Consider the following 23,949-nt stretch of genomic DNA (forward strand, 5'->3'; position numbering starts at 1 on the left):
ACCTCTTTCCTTCAGGTTAGGGAATGTTTTTGTTTTTACAGCTTCAAGCCTTTTTTTTTTCCTTATTCTTGTGTTATTGTTTTTATTTTGTACCATTTTATTGGTTTGGTTGGTTTTTTAGCTGTTTTGGTTTTTACAGTTTTTACACATGGTATATGAATGTGTAGGGCCACAGGTTGATTTTCATTCACTTTTTTATTAGAAAGCTTTTTCTTAATGTTTATTCTACTTGACCTGTTGCTTTTCTGTATTTTAATATTAATTTATAGATAGTGTACATTAAGGGAGATCAATTTTCTTCATTTTAAGAAATCCAGATACTTCAGATCCTACTTCTTTATGTACTCAGATGACAAAAATCCATTTTCTAAGGTCACAGAGTTCCTGAATAGAAGCGTCTAAAGAGAAATCTCTCAAGATCAGCACCTTGAAGTGGGCAGACACACTGGCACACTTGGACTCCCATCTCTCTCTCTCTCTTTTTTTTTTTTTTTCTGAGATAGAGTTTCACTCTTGTTGCCCAGGCTGGAGTGTAGTGGCAGGACCTTGGCTCATTGCAACCTCCGCCTTCTGGTTTCAAGCGATTCTCCTGCCTCAGCCTCCCAAATAGCTGGGATTACAGGCGACCTCCACCACTCCTGGCTAATTTTTGTATTTTTAGTAGAGACAGGGTTTCACCATGTTGGCCAGGCTGGTCTCAAACTCCTGACCTCATGATCCACCTGCCTCAGCCTCCCAAAGTGCTGGGATTACAGGTGTGAGCCACCACGCCCGGCCCCCTCCCATCTCTTTTATCATGTTTCTGATGCTCTCCATGGGCTGGGGATTGCTAAGGTGGTAAGGGTGTTGTAAAATTCTGCAGTGGGGAAGAACTGCACTTATTTAATATTTGCTCAAAATGTCGCTCTTTGAGCTGACTTGGGAAGTGACTTTGCCTGCTTCCAAAATGACAGTTATGACCTTATAAAGTTCCCCAGGAATTTGAGAGCCAAATTTAATTATATTTTCTCTGCAATGTACTCAGTACCCAAGGCTGCAGCTGCAGAAAGCTAAAAAATAAAAGGAATAAAATAAAAAGGAATGGGTGGGGGATTGAACCAATCAGTTTATTGCCATAAACTCTCTCCTAAAAAAGTCTCTACAGTATTCACAAGCATATTAATCTAATGCGGGAGTTGATCTTACCTGAACATATTACAGCAAAGTAATATGGTATCTGACAGATGGTATTTGACAGATGGTATCTGTCAAACTCATAATGACATCATTGGGAATTATTCTGAATTTTAAATCCAGAAGATAACTTTTTAAAAAGACAGTTCACAGAGATTGATGTAATTGCTTCCTGTTAGTAGGTTAGGCTTCATCTTTGATGGAGAAGAGGACATCGAAGTGTTATATATTTTCCCATGTAGTCATAATGCTAAACAGCAAATTAAAATATCTGAATCTCAGTTCTGGCCTTGCCACAGTCTAGCTAGGCAATGTGGGGCAAGTCATTTAATGTGTCTTCACATTTCTGAAAATGAAAGCTGAATGATATCTTTTTTTCTGGCTATATAACATTTACAAATCCTAAAATGTCAGTGATGGGAGCCCATATTCTTTTCTGAAATCTCATCTTGCCTACCTTGAGGGAGAACTCATGGGGTGCTGAAGACACAGGGCTCTGCAGAGTGTTGGATAAGTGTTTTCTCTGCTCTTCTAATTAGGTCAAATGGCTCCTCTAGCTGGCATCAGATTAGCTGTGTTAGTGACATTCACACTGGTCCAGATAAGGATGCAGACTTACCTCTTCACACCCATGCAACCAGCCCAAAGTGGAGGAGGCTGAGTCATGTGGGAAGATATGTTCTGACAGACTTATCTTTCTGGTTTCAGCATCTGGCTCCTTCACCCACCACATTCCAAAAGTCTGCATATTGGTGTGGCTGCTGTTAGCTCAACCCTGAAGAATTGATGTAATAGAGAAATATTTCACTTTAAGTAATATTTTTTTAACTTTTAACACATTCTTTACTTAAAACGACAAATAAATCAACCCTCCTGACCTGCTCAATCATTAGTATGCTAAGGGATTGTTCACATTTGCCTCACATTCAGTTGAACTGAGACATTTAGTTCATGAAAATAACTAGGCTGCAACCCATTATTTTAAACAATAGCTTTGTAGATTCTGGATATTATCCCTTAAACAACCCCATCAAAAAGTGGGCGAAGGATATGAACAGACACTTCTCAAAAGAAGACACTTATGCAGCCAACAGACACATGAAAAAATGCTCATCATCACTGGCCATCAGAGAAATGCAAATCAAAACCACAATGAGATATCATCTCACACCAGTTAGAATGGGGATCATTAAAAAGTCAGGAAACAACAGGTGCTGGAGAGGATGTGGAGAAATAGGAACACTTACACTGTTGGTGGGACTGTAAACTAGTTCAACCATTGTGGAAGACAGTGTGGCGATTCCTCAGGGATCTAGAACTAGAAATACCATTTGACCCAGCCATCCCATTACTGGGTATATACCCAAAGGAATATAAATCGTGCTGCTATAAAGACACATGCACATGTATGTTTATTGCAGCACTGTTCACAATAGCAAAGACTTGGAACCAACTCAAGTGTCCAACAATGATAGACTGGATTAAGAAAATGTGGCACCTATACACCATGGAATACTATGCAGCCATAAAAAAGGAAGCATTCATGTCCTTTGTAGGGACATGGATGAAGCTGGAAACCATCATTCTCAGCAGACTATCACAAGGACAAAAAGCCAAACACTGCATGTTCTCACTCATAGGTGGGAATTGAACAATGAGAACACTTGGACACAGGAAGGGGAATATCACACACCGGGGTCTGTCGTGGGGTGGGGGAAGTGGGGAGGGATAGCATTAGGAGATATACCTAATGTAAATGACAAGTTAATGGGTGCAGCACACCAACATGGCACTTATATACTTACATAACAAACCTGCACGTTGTGCACATGTACCCTAGAACTTAAAATATAATAAATATATATAAAAAACTAAAATACACAATAGCTGATGATTTATTTACTAGATAATCCATCTAGTCATATCCCAGTGATTAACTAGTGATTACAACTTAAAATAAAAATTTTGTGTATATCTATTTAATTGAACTAGACGAAATGGGCTAAACATGGAAGATTCATTTTCTTCTAATCAATGTTCTCACCCATCCCTAAAAGTAGAAAATGTCCATAAAATTTTAGATATTTTAAATAAAAGCACTTATCACAACACTTATCTTTAACCAAAAAACAGTGATCATTGAAGACCCAGAATATGACTATAGAAACTTTCAGTGCTTTCTGTAGACTCCATCTTTTGCTATCTATCAAAGAAAGATAAAATCTAGGAGTGGAAGGAAAGAGGTTCCCTACACTCCTTATTACCTGGTGATAAAGTACAGGGGTTTTAATAGGCTGTATCAAATGCACAAAATTCCAGGTCACATCAAAGAAAGTTCTACACACCTGGAAGTTGAAGGATTAGGGATTACAAGTTGTGTGAGGGAGGAATGGGAGGAGTCAGATAGTATTGGGACATCCTAGGCAATGTTTCCAGCCTACTTTGTGTTCTTTCCCTACCAACTAAGCTTGCCTAATTTGCTTCAGAATTGGAAGAGGGAATTGCAGCAGGAAAATATGTGAAGAGTTTTTAAACCCACAAATTCTTCTTACTTTAGAATTAGTTGTTACATTGGCAGGAAAAAATAAATGCAGATGTTGGACCATGTTGGAAACCTTGTCAAGACAGTGGATTGTCTCACACAGAATGGAAATGTGGCTTCTGATTCTGGTGGCGTATATGTTCCAGAGAAATGTGAATTCAGTACATATGCCAACTAAAGCTGTGGACCCAGAAGCATTCATGAATATTGTAAGTTGGGATTTCTGGGAAATGAGGTACTTAACATGTTAACGTTTGTATCTGTGTATTATTTACATTATGTATTATATTTATACATGGTGGTGATTCATACTAGAAGAGCATAGTGATGAAGTAGCAAATTGTACTGGAAAGAATGCTAAACTGGATGTCAGTAGACCTGGGGTCTCCTCACACAAATTTAGTAAACTTGGGCAAATGACTTAATCTCTTTGAGCTTCAAACACAATTTAACTTTTCCTTGAACACTTTGGTTCATCCTATGAGTGGAGAAGTAATTAAGGCCTTTTAAGTTCACCCCAGTCCCTTGATTATTTCCATTTTGTCTGTACCTTTTATTCTTTTATTCTTTTTTTCCATATTGCAAAGGTGTCAGCCTTTGCTTCTTGCTATCAGGGCACACACTTCTAGTAGCATCTTATACCATTCTAATCTACTCTTTTTATCCTGTTTCTGGACTGGTACTTTGCTGAATAGCAATAAAAGGACCCCGAGTTAGTGCTACACAGAACCTCCTACAAGTAAAATGCATAAATGACAGTACATCTCTTTAGTTTTCCCAGGAGGTTTTTTTTTTTTTTTTTTTTGGTAGCTTTTCAAATTCTAAGCTGGGTTTTAGTAATGGTCACCCTATGGTAACACTTATCCCATAGCAGGGATTATGACACAAGCAGAGATACTATTCTATTTCAATTTCATTGCCCTGTGCAGTAGATAGGATCATTCACATATTTCAAATCTAGATACTGAGATTAAAGAGGTTAAACAAGTTGAACAAGGCCATACCAATGTAATAGCATAGCTACTATTTAAATTCAGGACTGCCTAAACACAAAGTCTATAATTATAAATACTACGCAATAAACCCTCCCAGGTGAGAAAGAGGAGAGGCTACCTCCAGATGAGTAAGACGATCATGTGCAATGTTCATGTTCCAGAGATTTATCTAACAAACTCTCAGAAAATGGAACTTTAACATGTATTTATACCGATTTAAGACCCTTTCTACAGAAGCTTCCTTATATGGGTTCAAAAACTGAGAGGAAATAGAAATATTCTGTATCTGCATGGTGCTGAATATCAGGTTTCTTTTGACTATTCAATGATTAGGTGGTTTGTCTAGGTAGTTAGCACATTGGTGTCAGTCCTCAGGAGTCATCCTTCTGGCCCTGAGACTGTCCCACTTGAATTCCTCTGGTTTGGAGGTGAGGGGAATCTCTGCAGTGGCAGACAGAGATGATCTTCCTGGGCCCCACCCACTGCGTGTACCCAGCACCTATACACTACTGGGGCTTCAGGAGTCTGTAGACTAAAGCCCATTGAATTGGGCTCTGCCTTTAAGCAGCTATGCCTGGAAAAAAACAAAGTAAAATAGAAAATTCGTACGATTGGTGTAAATTCAACAAAATAGAATAAAAGTAGTTGCAAGTTTGAACTGGTTCTGAGGTAGGAGAAGGGCAGGACTTACTTTCTGGTCCCAACAGGATACAGTGAATAAACAAGCACAAACCAGCAGGTGGTGAAAAAAAAACAGCAAGAACCAGCAGTGGCCTGGAAGGCATCCTTTAGTTGCCCCGGCTGCTCATTAGCATAAGACACTCCTACCAGAACCATGACAGTTTACAAATGTCATAGCAATGACCCACGAGTTAGTACCCCTTTCCATGGCAATGGCCCAGAAGTTACTGTCCCGTTTCTGGAGATTTCTGAATAACCTGCCCCTTAATTTGCATGAAATTAATAGTTATAAGTAGGCATAAATACAGCTGCCAATAGCCCATACACTGCTGACTCTGGGAGCACTGCCTATGAATTAGCTCTGCTTTTCAAGGAGCAGTACCATTCAGTAAAAGATTACTGTCTAGTATTACCGGCTCACCCTTGAATTCTTTCCTGGGCAAAGCCAAGAACCTTCCCAGGGTAAGCCCCAATTTTGGAGCTTGTCTGTCCTGCATTGATTTGACTCTGTATATTCATGCATATGGATTATGGTCTATCTTATACTTTGATGAATAACTGGCCTTATGCATGTATTTTTTAAGCAAGTGTTTACTGAGCACCTACTAGGTCCATGATATTGTGTTATGTACTAAGGTTAGACAGATCTAAGAATATTAAAAGCCCTGACTTTATGGAGCTTATAGTCCAGCAGGAAGGACAGATCATCAATTAGTCATTATAAAAGCAATGAAATAAAAGAAGAAAACATAAAATAGGGGGAACTAATCCAGAAAGCTTTGCTGAAGAAGGGTTTCAAAGCCTGAAATCTGAAAGATAAATGGCAGTTGCTTGAGAGGGTGGTAGCAAAAAGGTCAGCACATAGGACAGCTGGAGCAGCTAAGAACATGCCAGATTCAAGGAGCTGAAAGCAGCTTATATCTGGATGGTCTTTTAAACATTGACTTTTTTATACTATTACAAAAGCAATATATGCTCATTATAGAAAATTTAAAAAATACAAAAGAAGGCAATAGTCACCAATGTACTCTGCACCAAGAACTGCTTTGTCATGCCTTTATCTTCATTCTAAATCTGTGAGGTTTTGTTTTCTTAAGAAGAAATGTCATGCACAATTTACTATTTTCCAACGTTTTTTCTGCTAAACAATGTATATCATGAAGAATTTCCCAACGTTTTAAATACCCTTCTACAACATCATTTCACCTTGCTGCATTATGTTCCATTTTTTTAAATAAGTATTTGCCCCAGGTTGGATTTTCTGGGGGACAGACTCTGAGGCAGAATTCATACAATAATGTTTATTAAGGAGAATCATCATCATCGCCTGTGGAAAGGAAGTAGAGAATCAGGAGTAAGGAAAGAGATAAATCAAACTGTGATACAGACTTCAAAACAGCCAGACTCAACTCCATGAGGAGCTATGGAGCTAAAACTGCTCTTCAGAGATGTCCTACGTTGGGCTGAGATGACCAGGCCTTTAGACCGCAAACAGGTCAGTCACTGGATGTGGCAGGAAGGGACGTGAACTTGGAGGAAGTGGCTTTCTACAGCTAAGGCCATTCCTACAGAAAATGACAGCCAAGGGTGATCTGTTGACAGCACTTCCAGTGGATGGGACCAGTCCTTTATTGCCTGCATAAATTTTCCTGCCAAGTATAGCATGTTGACCATCTTGCCACCTGTAGACAATGTTTGCAGCATTTGTAGTTCTTTTTCTTCTCAGATGTCCATGTCCCTATCCCTACCTCCTTGGCTCTTTTGAGCAACTTCTATTCAATCCTCAAGGCCCAGTTCAAATTCTTCCTCCATAAGACCTTGCCTGTCCAGCCCTGCTCATTTTGCTCCTCCTGCTCAGAATTCCTTTGCTCCTTCCTTCACTCTCATCCTTCATCCCTCATCTGACACATTACACATATCCTCTCAATAACTACTTGTCAGATGTCCTCCATTCTCATGTTTTTATATATATTTAACTCCCCAAATAGTTGACAACAGTGGTTCCTGAAGGATAGTTGTCAGATCAGCAACATCTGCTTTGCCTGGGAACTTGTATATCAATTTTTTGGGTTCCACACAGACCTGCTGTATCAGACTGTGAGTGGGGTCCCGCAATTTGTGTTTTAACAAACCCTCTAAGTAATTCTGATGCATGCTAAAATTTGAGACACTTCTATAAATTTTTTTTTCTTTGAGATGGAGTCTCCCTCTGTCACCAGGTTGGAGTGCAGTGGCGCGATCTTGGCTCACTGTAACCTCCGCCTCCCAGATTCAAGCAATTCCTCTTCCTCAGCCTCCCAAGTAGCTAGGACTATAGGCATGCACCACCACGCCCGGCTAATTTTTTTTATTATTATTTTAGTAGAGATGGTGTTTCACCATGTTGGCCAGGATGGTCTCGATCTCCTGACCTTGTGATCCACCCACCTCAACCTCCCAAAGTGCTGGGATTACAGGTGTGAGCCACTGTGCCCGGCCTATACATTTTTTTAAGGTTAAGTATACAATGGTGTCTCACACACATACATGCACACATATACACTGCATTCCATAATATTCGGTTAATTGAGTTTTAATTATAGTGGTAGTTAATGCTTATTGAGTTCCTACTATGTGCTGGGAATTACAGTTAGTGTTATATGTGCATTATCTTTTTGCATTTATTGCAACAGTCCCATGGAGTATGAACCATTAGAATTCCTAATTTACAGATGCATGAACTGAAGCATAGGAGCAGTTTAACTAAATTTCTCAAGATTATACAGCTAGTTTATGTAATAGTGTTAGAACCAGTGTTAAAACTCAAACAGTGGGACCCAGGAGCTTTCTCCTAATGACTATGCTTTGTTTTTGCCCTATATTCTACCTGGGCATGTGATGTTTGGCCTTCTCTCTTGCTCTTTTTTAAAGCAGCCCCTGATGCAAATGGTTCTCTCCTTCTCTCTGAGTGATAACAATGGGCAAGAATAGTGAGGATGCTTAGAAGATATTTGCAGCTACAAATTTTCCAGAGAATGTCTACATGTAACTACTGTATAGAGTAAGGATTCTTAACCAGGGGTTCGTATGTAGGCAACAAGATATCTGAAACTCCTGAAATTGAATGCAAAACCATGTTTTTGTATCCATTGTATATCCATTTTTATAGTTCTCCTCAAATTCACAGAGGGAACTTTAACCTGAAAATGTTAGGAATCAATGCTCTTGAGTCTGTGGTTTTAGAACTGGAAAGAACCTTAGGAAATGCATGGCCCAGGAATGCTCATAAGTTGTCCTGGAACAGGTGCCCCACTGGCTGCTTTAGAACCATCTTATCTGTAACCTGAAGTGGGCTCAAGACTCTGTATGTTTCAATGCCCAGAAGATTCTGATGCACAACGAGGTTTTGGAATCAATGTTCTGATCCAGTGGTTCTCAAACATTAGGGTACATCAAAATTCCCTAAAGAGCTTGAGACACAAACTGCTGGGCCCAGTCCTCTGAGTTCCTGATTCAGTAGGTTTGGTTGGAATTTGCATATCTAACAGATTAGTCCAAGTGATGCTGATGCCTTTGTCCCAAGGCCCATACTTTGAGAACCATAATTCTATTCCGGTTTCCATATTAAGACAAAGAAAGTAAGGACTAGAGAGGGTTAGCAGATTTTTCTAAGGTAACATGATTAGCTAGGGAAAAGCAAGGACTTTCACTGTGTTTTACAGCATCAAGGAATCTACTCTTACTTTTGGATCATTGAGAATATGGCCACAGAGAACTGAACCTAAAAGAAATTGTGCTTTTTCCATAGAGTGAAATCATCCAACATCAAGGCTATCCCTGTGAGGAATATGAAGTCGCAACTGAAGATGGGTATATCCTTTCTGTTAACAGGATTCCTCGAGGCCTAGTGCAACCTAAGAAGACAGGTGTGGGTCACCCCATGTCACCGCAACACAGCAGTCTTCTCTGCAGTCACGATTTCCTTGTGATTTGAATGTAGAAGAGAGCCTGGGTTCTTAGTGCAGAGTGAGGTCCATTGTTCAGGTCAAAGGATGGTGTCAGTTCCCCCATAGTCTCCATCACCACCACCGTGTCCGTCCCCACTGCCACCAATTATCTCAATTAAACATACAGTGTTTGCTTTTCAAAACACTCCTTCAAGAAAAGTTCATTTCTTGACTTATTTTAGCGCTTAACCCATTCCCCAAAACTCCTCCTATGTAGACATTCTAAAATATTTACTGACAATTCCTTGAACAGACCATATCAGCCTCTGATTATGAAGAATTCAAGCTTCTTTATGGCACCTGGTACCCGCTCCTGTATACTCTGTATTCCTCATCTAAAGAGCACTTAAAATATTTAAGATGTTGCCTAGCTTTTTACTAAGGGCTTTTGAAAAACGAAAGTTCTATACATACATTTTATTTTATTTTATTTTATTTTATTTTATTTTATTTTATTTTATTTTATTTTATTTTTGAGGTGGAGTTTTGCACTTGTTGCCCAGGCTGGAGTGCAGTGGTAGGATCTCAGCTCACCGCAACCTCCGCCTCCTGGGTTCAAGCAATTCTCCTGCTTCAGCCTCCCAAGTAGCTGGGATTACAGGCATACACCACCACACCTGGCTAATTTTTGTATTTTTGGTAGAGACAGAGTTTCTCCATGTTGGTCAGGCTGGTCTTGAACTCCCGACCTCAGGTGATCCACCCGCCTCCACCTCCCAAAGTGCTGGGATTACAGGCATGAGCCACCGCGCCTGGCTATACATACATTTTAAATGTTTGATACATGTCTCCATAGTTCATACAATTCCACCCTTTTGTATGTGGGATTTTCAGCTATTGTTATTTTTTAAACATTTGTTTTCATTACTAAAATATGCCTATTTTTCATTTCTATTTGGCTGGATTCTTTTTAATACTCTAGCAGTAGGTTTATAGTAGCAACTATATTGTCTTTCTTGTGTATAGGTAATATAATTTCTTGTGTTATTTTGATATGCCAGATACACTGATAAGTGCTTTATTTGTATTAGTCTCATTTAATTTTCACAATTACCCTAAGAAACTGCTACTCACATATGTTAAGCAACTTGCCCAAAACGTCTGTGCTAGTGCTTGCTAGTGAGTTGTAAAACCTGCACTCAAATCAAATCTGTCTCTCTGCCATTATAGCCCGTGTTCTTAACTAGGACCAGAAAATGCTGGACAAATGCTATTGGGCTTTGGTGTAAAGAAACGTTGGGGTTCTGTTTTACTCCAATTTGTACTTGTGTAGCTTTTTGAAACCACCTTTTTTTTTCTCACTAGCTGCACAGCTGCGCCTTATACATGTCTAGCGTGCACCTGCCTTAGTGTCTTTGAACTTAAATTTCTCCCTCTGGACCACTGTTTCATCAGATGTCTATGCAGCTTGCCTTGGCCCTTCTTTCAGCCAACTTTATCAGAGTTCTTCCCTGGCCACCCTATTCAAAGTTGCAGCTCTTTGCTACCTATTGAGTTCTAGCCCCTTACCCTGCTTACTTTTCCATATAGCACTTACCATCACCTGATATAATAGATATTTGCATGTTTGTCTATTGTCTGTCTCCCCCCAGTCAGAGTGTAAACTCAGTGAGAGCAGAGACATCATTTGTTTTGCTCAAGGCTAGAACCAGTAACTAAATGAGTGCTGAGCACATTCTGGTGCTAATAAATATTTGCGGGATGAATTATAGATTTTGTATAAATAAATGAATAGCCTGGGGACACAGCCCCACGAATCTCAGGGGAGTGGTAAAAGCACAGTTCTTCCAAGCAGTCGAGTGACTTAGCAATTACTAAGCATGGGGGTCACCTGCAGCCCCTATTCTATGGATGGAATTTGTTTTCTTACATCCTGTTGATTCAGACTGTTCACACATTGCCCAGGTGTTTGAGGTTCAAGGAATCTGCCTCCTTGTTCCAGTCCGTGCAGAATACTTCCCTCTAGTGGCCAATGTTGTTGGCATGTGCCTCTTCAGAGGCAATCTCCCATATCAAAAAAAAAAAAAAAATTCACCAACCAAGAAAGCCAGTGAAATTCTTATTGAAAACAACTGAAAAATGTTTACTGTAAAGCTTATAGCTTGTGGTAGCGGCCTTTTTATCTTTATCAAAGAATCTTAGTTGGCTTCAATATCAAGAGAGAAAATAGGCTGGGCCATCCTCAGAAATGACAGCTGTGTAAGTGTAGCCCTTACACACTTACCTGCTGGGTGTAAATTAAATAGAAGACCTAGGGGATGTTTGAAATGATATAAATGAGCCATTCCTCTTGTTAGGGGAATCACAAGAACAAACTATATGACTAAGTAGAACCAAGGTGACCTTAACCATGGGAAATGCCCGGACTCTCAAGGGGAGCATTGATCACCTTGGTTTGATTGTCCTGTGTTAACACAGCTGAGGTCACCTCCCTGAGAACTAAGAGGATGAACTAAATGACCAGATTAGATTTTCAAGGAAAATCTAAAATAACACTGAGTTCCTTCCTCCTGGCCCTTCACTCACAGTCCACAGTGACCCACACGTTCTCTCCCTTGAGAGACAAAATGAGGCAGATGGAATTCATGAAGACTGTCAAGATGCTGGATGAGTTTGGTGTAGAAGGCTTTTGTCCTACAGGGAGACTGCATGTGTGTTTGGTGCCCGTTTATAGCAATAACAACAAGAGCTACCCATCTGATCTGAGGTCGGGCAGCATGCTGAGTGCTTAATGCACAGTACCGCATTTAACCCTCCCCTGCCAAAACCCTGTGAGGTGGGCAATTGTCCTCATTTTGCTAATGAGAACACTGAAGCTCAGAAAGTCACTTGCTTTAGAGAATTATAACAATAATAATGAAAGCAATAAGGCTGTTTTTTACTGCAGGCTTCTTCTGAGCCAATACTGAGGTGTGGATATTGCATTCATGATTTGATTTAATTCTCACAAGTCCTGTTGAGGGCATGACATATTTTTTACTCCTAATAGGGCAGCACCTTATTAATCTTTCAGCCAAATTTGCTAATGTCAAAATAATATATATGCCTTAATTTATTGAACATATTAGAATTCTTAAAACCCTTCATCCTTCTCTATTCTCTACTGATATTCTTATAATTCTTTATTTTGATATAATTTCCAATTTATGGAAAAGTCCTGGGAATAGTACAAGGGACTTCCATATGCCCTTTGCCCTGATTTACCAACTGTTTACAGTTTTACCCCATTTATTTTATCATTATCTCTCCCCCATCTCTTACGTGTATCTTAATACTTTTTCCAAAACCTTTGATGGTAAATTTGAGACATACATCATGCCTATTTGCCCCTAAGTACTTCAGTGAGTATTTTCTAAGAACAAGAGTATTCTCTTCTATAACTGCAATACCTTTATCAAAGTTAGAAAACAAACATTGATTGACATTAGTGTTTAATTCGTAGTCTATATCCAAATTTTGTCAATTGTCCCAAAGTCCTTTACAGCTGTTTTCCCTCCTCTGGTCCATAATCTAATCCAGGATCATTTACTATACATTTGGCCACCAAGTCTGTCTCCTTCATAAACAAACAATTCCTAAGGTTTTGTCTTTTTGATTTTTGCATTTTTGAAGAGTTTTGGACAGGGATTTAATTTGCTTTATCTGATGTTTCTTCATGGTGTGATTCAAGTTATATGTTTTTGGCAGGAATAACCCAAAAGTGAAGTTATATCTTTCTTGGTTCATCATATTATGAAGCAAATAATGTTGGCTTGTTCCAATACTGATAATAACTTTAATGACTTCATTAAGGTGGTATCTGCCAGGTTTTTCTAAAGTTAGTATTTTTCCTTTTGTAATTAACAAATAAGTTATGGGAAGATAATTTCAGGATATGTAGTATTCTGTCTTTAAATTTTACTCACTAATTTTAACATTCACTGATAATTTCAATCTTTCTGAATTTGTTAGTGGGTATTGTACTGTAAATCAATGTTTTGTATTTACTAATTGGCATTCTGTAAATAAGAGCTTTTCCTTCCAATTATTTATTTGTTCATTTATTTATTGGTCTCTATATGGACTTGAACATTCTTAATTTATTCAATGGGATATAATTATTTACTATAATTATTTTGATGCTCAATATTTCTGTATTTGAACAGTGGGAGCTCCTTCAAGCTGGCTTGTGGGTCCTTTTGACATGAAGGTCTCTTAATCACTAAACCATTATATATATGTGGTATACATATACCTTAATAATCATACTATACCATCTACTGGGGCACTTTCAATATTTCTGAAGAGCCCAGACAAGTCTGATAATAATTACACAAAACAAAGAACAGAAGTTAAACTTTATAGATTCTTTTTCTGCCGGGCAACATGCCATCCATTTCTTGTGCTCTATTTTATTAAAGCATAACAAAAATCTTATTTTACTGATGAGGAAATCAAGGCACACACCAAAGGTCAAGTAATTGGCCAAGATAACTAAGCTAGCAAGCAGCTGAATCAAGATCTGAACACAGGTTTGTTTGATTTGAAAGCTCTTATTCATTACTGGACAACAAGAAAGGGAGAGAACATTTCATACAGTTGAAATTTTCTCTTTTTGCAGGTTCCAGGCCTGTGGTGTTACTGCAGCATGGCCTAGTTGGAGGTGCTAGCAACTGGATTTCCAACCTGCCCAACAATAGCCTGGGCTTCATTCTGGCAGATGCTGGTTTTGACGTGTGGATGGGGAACAGCAGGGGAAACGCCTGGTCTCGAAAACACAAGACACTCTCCATAGACCAAGATGAGTTCTGGGCTTTCAGGTATATGATAATCTCGAGAACAGAGGTAGACATGTCTGTCTTTCAAAAAAAATGGGTAAAAAATTACGGCTTCTAGTATTTGGTTGATTTATTTTGGTTGAGTCATCATTATCTTAACATGATATCCCCCAGTTTTCTTAATTAACTAGTGATTCCTTGGTTGAAGTAGTGAGGAATGCTGAGTTCCCCATGTAGAAGGTGGGTCTAGCTAATAGGGTGAGAATGGTGGTTGGTGTCAGGTGACTAAGATTGGAATGAGAGAAGTGTAGATCAATTTCCTCATGGGGAGGGGCGGGTAATAGTATAATAGTACTCCAGAAGGAAAAGAGACCAGGCAGCATTAAAAAAAAAGAAAGGAAACTATTAAGCCTAGTGTGTTAGTCCGTTTTCACACTGCTGTAAAGAACTGCCCGAGACTAAGTAATTTATAAAGTAAAGGGTTTTAATTTACTCACAGTTCAGCGGGGCTGGGGAGGCCTCAGGAAACTTACAATCATGGCAGAAGGTGAAGGGGAAGCAAGGCACCCTTTTCACAAGGCTGCAGCAAGAAGTGCTGAGCAAAAGGGGGAAGAGCCCTTTATAAAACAATCAGATCTTATGAGAACTCACTATCACGAGAACAGCACAGGGGAAACCACTCCCATGATTCAACTACCTCCACCTGGTCTCTCCCTTGACACATGGGGATTACAGGGATTATGGGGATTACAATTCAAGATGAGATTTGAGTGGGAACACAAGGCCTAACCATATCACCTAGGGACCATCGATTTGACTTACCTCTCATGTTCTTACAAAAGATTTTTAACTCTTTTATTTAAATTACCTATTGATGTTCAACTCACTTTTTATGGCTATCAGAGACGGACCACTTCAGCATCTTTACAACTATTCCTGTAAATGAATCTGCAGAGCCCTGTGCGGTTCTGCTTAACAGTAGAACAGGACACTTCCACTAGCAGTTGCGTTATGTGCTCAGTAAATATTCACTGAAGATAGTTATTGCTACGTGATAACATCTAGAGAAAACAGCAGTTTGCTGACAGCCTGTGACTCCAGAGGCACCCATGCTTCATAGGTTTGAAAGAAATCCATTCTGAGTGTTGTGAGGGACACGGTAACAAGCTGTCAGAGTTGACAACTCAAGGGCTTGTTTGTAAACCTGGTGTCGGGGGGAGCTTTTGTTTGTTTCTGATTATAATTTTTCATATAACTTTGTCTTTTCCCCTTGTAGTTATGATGAGATGGCTAGGTTTGACCTTCCTGCAGTGATAAACTTTATTTTGCAGAAAACGGGCCAGGAAAAGATCTATTATGTCGGCTATTCACAGGGCACCACCATGGGTAGGTTCAAAGAAAAGCAGGTTTGTATACTCGGAAGAAATGTGAGCATACGACACTAGCTATCCCTGAAATCTGTCACCTTGTGCTTCCTTCAGACCTGCTCTTTTCATCTTCAGAATCATGTAGTCCCCAGCAATGTGTCTAGCATATAGACATATGTGCTAGATATAGCATATCTCTGTGCTATATGTGTCTAGATATAGCATATCTCTCAATATAAATATTTTCTCAAAGCCAACATCGTGTTATTCAATTATTTATTTAACTCATTGAGCACCTACTACTTGAAAGCAAATATGCTGGTGTCATAAGGACCTTATAATTTTATAGGAGAGGTAAGATGCAGTCACATATATACTTATTGAAATATGTATTTAAAAGCAAAATATACATTTTATGAGTTCTAAAAATATTTCGTATTCATGTTGACATATTTCTTCTTTTGCAGGCTTTATTGCATTTTCCACCATGCCAGAGCTGGCTCAGAAAATCAAAATGTATTTTGCTTTAGCACCCATAGCCACTGTTAAGCATGCAAAAAGCCCCGGGACCAAATTTTTGTTGCTGCCAGATATGATGATCAAGGTATGAGACTCCTCAGAAAACTTCCTGTGTACGTAGAAAAATCTTCCAGCCCAATTTCCTAAAACATAAACTTTTAAATTACAGTCACATCTTTTCTGTCTGTCATGTCTATGTCACTTCATATTTTCACAGGGATTGTTTGGCAAAAAAGAATTTCTGTATCAGACCAGATTTCTCAGACAACTTGTTATTTACCTTTGTGGCCAGGTGATTCTTGATCAGATTTGTAGTAATATCATGTTACTTCTGGGTGGATTCAACACCAACAATATGAACATGGTAAGTGGGAGCCTAGTAAATTCCCAGCATCCCAGCATAAAGCTGGGAGTCATATGGCTCACCCCTGGAGGGAGAGCTAATGCCAGTGAAGACTCAGAGTAATGATATATTCTCAGTAACTCAGTTCTCTGCAAACTGTAAGGAAATAAGGGAAATGCTTCAGTATGGACTGAAACAAGGTTAACATAAGGGCATTGCTGATATTAAATCACAGATTATAGATGGAAGAGGTCTGAAAGCAGCTTTACTACAGTGAATTAAATTAAAAAGAGCAATTAGCACATGTTAGACAACAGAGACAACTGTCATGCATCATCCACCTCTACCCTGCACTGGGGTCCTGTAGGTTTGTAGTTTAAGTTCTTTGATGGAACATCAGGGACCTTCATTTTGGCTTAGGCTACCAGTTGGTATCACTGGGTGGGTTCCCTAGGAAGCATACTCTGAGATGGAGGTTAATGTGAACAATGATTTGGGTCCTGCTCTAGGGATAATACCTAGAGAAGGAAAAGAAACAGGACTAGGTAGGTGAAAAAGTCAAGTAGTGATGCAGTCTCAATAGGAGACTTAGTTGATCCTGCAGGGATTTTTGAAGATAGGATGACCCTTCAGAACCGTCTCAAGTTAGGAAGAGAGGGTTGGGTCTTTATACACCATATCAGTCAGTCATTTAATGTAGCCATACCAGTAACAGGGTAGCACTGGGCAATGTATCTGCCTACAATTGGTGCAATCCTCAAAGCAGACTGAGAGTGGAGGGCTGTTTGCCAGCAGCACTCCCAGCAGCTGGGGCAACATTTCCTTAATTCTGAATATTTTTTCTTCTTCTTTAAGATTAATAATTTGATTTATAGTAAGGATATGAAAAGTATATATTATGTATCAGGCTAATTTATTACCTATACCAAGCCTATGAGTGTTATTAATATCCCCACTTTGCAGATTAGTATACTAAGATTTAGTAGATTAAGTGACTCACTCAAATTCACCTAAAAATTAAACTGCAGAACTAGGATTTGAATACAGGCCCAATGCTAGAGCCCTCATCCTAAATATCACTAGTAAAATTTTTTTTAATTAGGGGCCAGATCTCTGATGAGAACCTATTCTCAGATGAAAAATACCGGTGTCTGGCAATACATTTAATGACATTTTATTTACGTGCATGTACATATTTTTGTTTCATAGATAATTGCTGATAACTTAATAATGTTACCATTTCTTAGTCTGACACCCTGGAGATTTGGTCTTGACAGGGTATACATCTTGTGAGTTTTTCTATGTCCCCCAGAATACTCATGGTTTGTTACAGAGCCGAGCAAGTGTATATGCTGCCCACACTCTTGCTGGAACATCTGTGCAAAATATTCTACACTGGAGCCAGGTAAGAATGTTGAATTTGCAGTCTTTGCTAAATGTCCTGTTATATTTTGTGTAGAATAGTCAAAGGACACCATTTAGATAAGCCAGGGATTATTTCACACTTATTCTAAGATGAAATGCAGTATCGTCGATGCTATTTTGATGGAGAATTTGATCTAGATCACTGAAACTTTTCAAGAAATGGGAAGAAAGGACAGAAGTAGCCTAAGAACTTCTTTAGATCTTAAAAGTATGAATTTAGATGATCCAAGTGAGACTTCTCTCTGTCTCTAGACACCTCAAAGATGTGGCTGGAGATAATTATGTTTCTACATCTTCTCTTCAGCTCCTCCAACAATACAGTCAAGTAGAAACAAAAATGCTAATGTGGGGTCTGTCAAAAGAGATATTCACAGGAGTCCTTCACACTGCAAACTTTACCTGCAATTACAGGAAACACACACCTCTGTGTGTCTATGTGGTGTGTGTGAAAGAGAGGGATGGGGGAAGGAGAGAGTTCTCTCTGTTGACAGGTAGGGAGAGACAGAGAGAGAGAGAGCAATTGTACCATCAAAACCAGAGAAGAATTATAAGTTCAATTAAATTTTGGTTGCTATCTTCCAGGATCACCACATTGCACAATTCCAGGGCACGATTCCCCATTGTAGCCCACACAGTTGTGGAGGATACCCACTCACATTAATTACAATGAAGATGCACTTCCTGGAGTTGCTAATGCAATGATCAAGAATTTATGTAGTCCCTCTTTCTTCTCAAAAGGCCTCATTCTTGTCTTACCATTTTCCTGAGACGCTTATCCCAACATTGAATGGAAGAGCAGCTCAACCATTGCTCTCTCCTTCCCTCATGAGTGCACACTGGGTAGCACATTTCCACCACCCCACCACGCTTATCCACTGAGACGTTGGAATTCCTTGTAAATTTTTGTCTCCTTTTAGGCAGTGAATTCTGGTGAACTCCGGGCATTTGACTGGGGGAGTGAGACCAAAAATCTGGAAAAATGCAATCAGGTAAGAAAATCAAATACCATCTGCTGAAAATATATACATTGGAAATGTATGACAGGGACGTTATAATGACAGTTTATTCTAGATATGGGAATAAAATATGAAAATTTAAGCAGAAAATAATGGTTCATGTTTGACTCCATTTGAAAATGGTTAAGTTCACAGCTGATCCAAGAAACCTCTCTGCTTTTACAATGGAGTAGGAGGCCTTTTTAGCTGAGGCTGTCTCCCTAAACAAGGTACTGGGCTTCTCAGGAGCAAGATGAAGTAGATTTAGTCAAGAGAAGAGTGTAGTCTATGGTGGATACTAGAAGGATTATTTTAGAATTAAAAAAAATGGGATGGTGGCAGTAAGTTTGTTTCATGGCACAGTAAAAGGAACATTAAATGGCAAGTGAGGATTGCTGTGTAAGTTTTGCCTCTGCACTATAAACTTCTGTAATAGGAGGGAGGCTGCTTTAATTTTTCAGGCTTCAATTTCTTTACCTTGAAAATAAAAATTTTGGGCTTAGAAAATCCATAGGCATTCTCCCTAGTTATACTTTAAATGAATCTGTAATTTGCAAGTTACATTTTTTAAAAATGTTATTACATTACCCAAGAAAATATGTAGCTAATGCTATGAACTAAAATTAGATATCAAAGTGTGGAGATTCAGAATTGCACAGGTATGCCCTTTAGAACATAAAATCTTCTGAAGATTTTTGGTAATCATGTGTATGAATGTAAATAAATATTTACCATAGAAACAATACTGGAAGGGGCAGATTAGACACAGCTTAGTCTTTCTTTGAGACCCTCACATCATAAATTAACATCCGCTGCCATATGTCTATCTAGATGTAAAATGCTAGGAAACTGGACAAACTGTGCAGTGCCCCTGGATAGTGAACTCTCAATCTCTGGTATCAGCTGCTTCTCTTGAAGTCTTTCTTCACTGTTTCCCAAAATATGTCTTTAGAGAAAGTATTTCTGTTCAAAGATGTTTTTTTAATTATATTTATTTACTTTTGAGACAGAATCTTGCTCTGTCACCCAGGCTGGAGTGCAGTGGCGCAGTCTCGGCTCACTGAAAACTCTGCCTCCTAGCTTTGAGCCATTCTCTTGCCTCAGCCTCCCGAGTAGCTGGGACTACAGGTGCACGCCACCATGCTCAGCTAATTTTTTTTTTGTACTTTTAGGGATGGGGTTTCACCATGTTGGTCAGGCTGGTCTCAAACTCCTGACCTCAAGTGATCCACCTACCTCAGCCTCCCAAAGTGCTGGGATTACAGGCGTGAGCCACTGTGCCCGGCCCTAAGATGGCTTTAATTTATCAACATTTAATGGACTGAGTTCTAGAGAAATTGATTCATGCAGAATAGGCACCAGAAAATGGGAGTGGAAGGGAAGAGTAAACAAACACACAAAAAAAATCATAGAATCACAGAAACTCAGAGCGAGATATGACATTCAGTTCAATCTTTTCACCTGTAAGATGACAAAAAAAATTACTAGCCCCATAGAATTTTTCAACCTTCCTTATCCAAATTAGGCCATAACTGAGCCACAAAGAGAAACCAGAGCATCTAGGATTGGAGCCAAGACTCCATGGTGGATTTCCTGAGTAAGAAATGGGCCTTACCACTTCTGAGGAAAGTTCTGGATGCTGATTAATCTCAAGGGCTCAGCCGGCTAGGCTAATTCTACTAACACTGCATAAATACGGAAAGTTCCCAGGTATTAGGAATACTAATTGGTATATTTGGTGGGGAAGGGTGAGGAATAAGGATTGGAGCAGGTATTTAACTTTTACTTCCCTTTAGCTCAAATTACCTGAGTGCCATAGGCCATGGTTCTGGCAAATGCAGTCAAGCCGGGTCTGCCTCAAAGGCTGCCTGGGATCACATAAAGACTGTGAAGATGCAGAGCCCTTCCCAGCAGATTCCTTGCTTTTCTCTGTGGAATATAATTCTTCTTTCATGAAATGTTTGTGAAATTATCTTTTAAAAGAACAGGGGCATTATTTTTAAAAACAATTTATTTACAAAATATTTAATAGGAAGAAAAAAGAAATACAAGGCATTACATGTTTTTATGTGTTTTGTCATTTGATCTAGCAAGTTATTACAGATATTATCCCCAGTCACAGAAGAAGAAACTGAGGTTCAATAATGTTAAGTAATTTTACCTTAAAGTAAGGGCGGGAACAGAAATTCTTAACAGAGTTGTGTGGCTCTAACACCCATGTACCCTTCACCACAACAGATGGCATGTTTATTATGTCTATTTGAAACATAAATTATGAGCCTGAAAGTCCAAATGTTACCTAGAGTTAAGAACTATTCCTTTTCTCTAGCCAACTCCTGTAAGGTACAGAGTCAGAGATATGACGGTCCCTACAGCAATGTGGACAGGAGGTCAGGACTGGCTTTCAAATCCAGAAGACGTGAAAATGCTGCTCTCTGAGGTGACCAACCTCATCTACCATAAGAATATTCCTGAATGGGCTCACGTGGATTTCATCTGGGGTTTGGATGCTCCTCACCGTATGTACAATGAAATCATCCATCTGATGCAGCAGGAGGAGACCAACCTTTCCCAGGGACGGTGTGAGGCCGTATTGTGAAGCATCTGACACTGACGATCTTAGGACAACCTCCTGAGGGATGGGGCTAGGACCCATGAAGGCAGAATTACGGAGAGCAGAGACCTAGTATACATTTTTCAGATTCCCTGCACTTGGCACTAAATCCGACACTTACATTTACATTTTTTTTCTGTAAATTAAAGTACTTATTAGGTAAATAGAGGTTTTGTATGCTATTATATATTCTACCATCTTGAAGGGTAGGTTTTACCTGATAGCCAGAAAATATCTAGACATTCTCTATATCATTCAGGTAAATCTCTTTAAAACACCTATTGTTTTTTCTATAAGCCATATTTTTGGAGCACTAAAGTAAAATGGCAAATTGGGACAGATATTGAGGTCTGGAGTCTGTGGATTATTGTTGACTTTGACAAAATAAGCTAGACATTTTCACCTTGTTGCCACAGAGACATAACACTACCTCAGGAAGCTGAGCTGCTTTAAGGACAACAACAACAAAATCAGTGTTACAGTATGGATGAAATCTATGTTAAGCATTCTCAGAATAAGGCCAAGTTTTATAGTTGCATCTCAGGGAAGAAAATTTTATAGGATGTTTATGAGTTCTCCAATAAATGCATTCTGCATTACATAAAGCATGTATGTGCATTTCAGTGTCTAGATTCTAGTCCAAGCTTGTTGGAAGGTTTACAGCTTGTTGCTAGGAGACCTAATGACTAAAAATTTCTGGCTCAATTTTCTGCCTCCAAAAATTAAAAGCTAGGGAGAAAATTGCATAATGTCATGAGCATGATGAAACAAATTGTCATATACTTTATCCTTTAATCTTGACAAAGTTAATGTCAGACAGTCTCTGCAACTCATTGACAAACCATGATTTATTTCTTCAGAAAATTATTCCACTTTTACACAATTTCAAAGATGACAGTTGTAAATTACATTGGTACTATTTTGCAAAATCTCTGAAACCAAATCAAAGGTTTGTGTGTGTCAAAAGTATATTGTTGAAGGTATACTGGTGTGTGAAATTCACTTGTGTGGGTTTTTTGTCCCCAAGGGTCACCTGGTAGCTCAGCTCAATGCCAGTGAATCTTAATTTATTAAGACACGTTTAAAGACTTCAGAATCTATATCTACACACTATTACTTCCTTCATAAAATAAGTTTCTTAAATCCTGTACACAGTTGAATATATATTGCTGGATTTGATTTTCATTAGAGCTTTCAAGGATGGTAAATCTTTCATTCTTATACTGTACTTGTTACCACATACAAAGAGGCTGGCTTAGTTCCTGTCTGCAGCTATGTGAGATTCAGTCTTGATTTTCAAAATTCAGTCATATTTTTAAAGTGAATTTATTTCTACTCTGTGTCATTCACAGAAGAAGTGAGACAGATATTTTGATATTCGCAATCTCTCACTTAGACAAATAATCCAGATCCTACCTCATTGTATAGCTCTGTTTCTTTTGAAGAACTTTATCCAAATAAGTTACAATAATATTTTACATCTATCAATAAAATAAACAAAACTAACAAGCTTGGCAACCACCTTGTATTTACAAAAGGATCATGAAGATTTTTTTAAACGAACATTTTCATAGTTGCATAGTCTTGCTCAAACCAAGATGGCTTTTATTTGTAAACCGAAATCTCTAGTGGTATGCTGGTAAACGAACTTTATGGAAAGTAAAAAACAAAAAAACAAAAACAAACTCTGATTTGTCAATTTGCCAATTTCTGTGGTGTAAACACACTCACCGCTGACACTTGATAGATGTTTTTATTGAAATTCCTTCACCAAAGGAATATTTACTTGTGAATCTCTAAGCCCACACACATACACAAATACCATTCTGTACAAACATACGTATTTAATAATTTGATTCTTCTGCTCAATACTCAAAGGGGGCTGGGAGGAACAGTTTGTCTCCTAGGGCATGACATAGACTGGACAGTCTTTTTATAAGAGTGATACAACTGGGAAGGGAGAACGCTGTTTCAGAAGATAACTCAGATCCTCTTCTTCAGGAAAGACTGAGTTTGGAACACCAGGGCTTTTTTTTTTTTTTTTTTTTTTGAGACAGGGTCTCGCTGTGTTGCCCTGGCTGCTCTCAAACTCCTGAGTTCAAGTGATCCTCCCACCTCAGCCTCCCAAGTAGCTGGGATTACAGGCATGTACCACTGTGCCTAGCTGAAACATCAGTTTCTGACTGAAGTGGAGACTACAACAACTTTAGTGTTTCCCTTAGAAGGATTACGGCCATGGTGAACTTGACTGAGTAAACAATGCTATAAATAAAAAGCTCTTCCAAAACATTAACCATGGTAAGCATCATTATCCCCATAAAATGGTGGCATCCAGGTTAAATGGCCCACAGACCAAAAGTCTAAAATGAAGATAGAATCCAGTCGTTAACTTTTTCTGTATCTCCATCGGTGTGGTCACAAGGATTACAATGCTTTCCTTAGCATTAATTCAATCTGGGAAAATTTTAATCTCCGTGCAATATCCAGTGAGCTCTCACCATGCTGAGGGGGGAAAAATATACAGTTATTTCCAATAGAGTGCCCAAGATCTC

General features: G+C 38.9%; 2 protein-coding genes across 5 annotated transcripts in view; one reads left to right on the forward strand and one right to left on the reverse strand.

Annotated features, from left to right (window-relative positions):
- The first annotated feature begins 3,610 nt into the window (after positions 1–3,610).
- Positions 3,611–21,427, forward strand: LIPM (lipase family member M). Of its 4 annotated transcripts, none has more exons than XM_011539748.4 (9): positions 3,611–3,924; positions 9,179–9,296; positions 13,978–14,176; positions 15,411–15,520; positions 15,969–16,105; positions 16,238–16,384; positions 17,676–17,768; positions 18,706–18,777; positions 21,113–21,427. In XM_011539748.4, the coding sequence occupies exons 1-9, from the start codon at positions 3,778–3,780 to the stop codon at positions 21,380–21,382; spliced, it is 1,293 nt and encodes a 430-aa protein (XP_011538050.1). In that variant the 5' UTR covers positions 3,611–3,777; the 3' UTR covers positions 21,383–21,427. The 4 variants fall into 4 exon arrangements, with proteins under 4 accessions (XP_011538050.1, NP_001121687.1, XP_011538053.1 ...); NM_001128215.1 differs by having other exon boundaries at positions 17,697–17,768; XM_011539751.4 differs by lacking the exons at positions 3,611–3,924; positions 9,179–9,296 and adding an exon at positions 11,789–13,888.
- Positions 20,777–23,949, reverse strand: part of ANKRD22 (ankyrin repeat domain 22) — a 31,949-nt gene continuing 28,776 nt past the window's right edge. Inside the window, exon 6 of the mRNA NM_144590.3 lies at positions 20,777–23,899. Within this exon, the coding sequence (NP_653191.2) occupies positions 23,822–23,899 (78 nt within the window). The 3' untranslated portion in view covers positions 20,777–23,821. The remainder of the gene's footprint in view (positions 23,900–23,949) is intronic.

Source organism: Homo sapiens, chromosome 10, assembly GCF_000001405.40.
Source record: "Homo sapiens chromosome 10, GRCh38.p14 Primary Assembly".
Taxonomy (NCBI): Eukaryota; Metazoa; Chordata; class Mammalia; order Primates; family Hominidae; genus Homo; species Homo sapiens.

Bases quoted from the DNA above. Each gene is read 5' to 3' on its own strand.
- LIPM (XM_011539748.4), top strand. From the start codon at position 3,778: ATGTTGGAAACCTTGTCAAGACAGTGGATTGTCTCACACAGAATGGAA. The intron at 3,925-9,178 runs GTAAGTTGGGAT...CTTTTTCCATAG, and splicing joins CAGAAGCATTCATGAATATT to AGTGAAATCATCCAACATCA. The intron at 15,521-15,968 runs GTAGGTTCAAAG...CTTCTTTTGCAG, and splicing joins TTCACAGGGCACCACCATGG to GCTTTATTGCATTTTCCACC.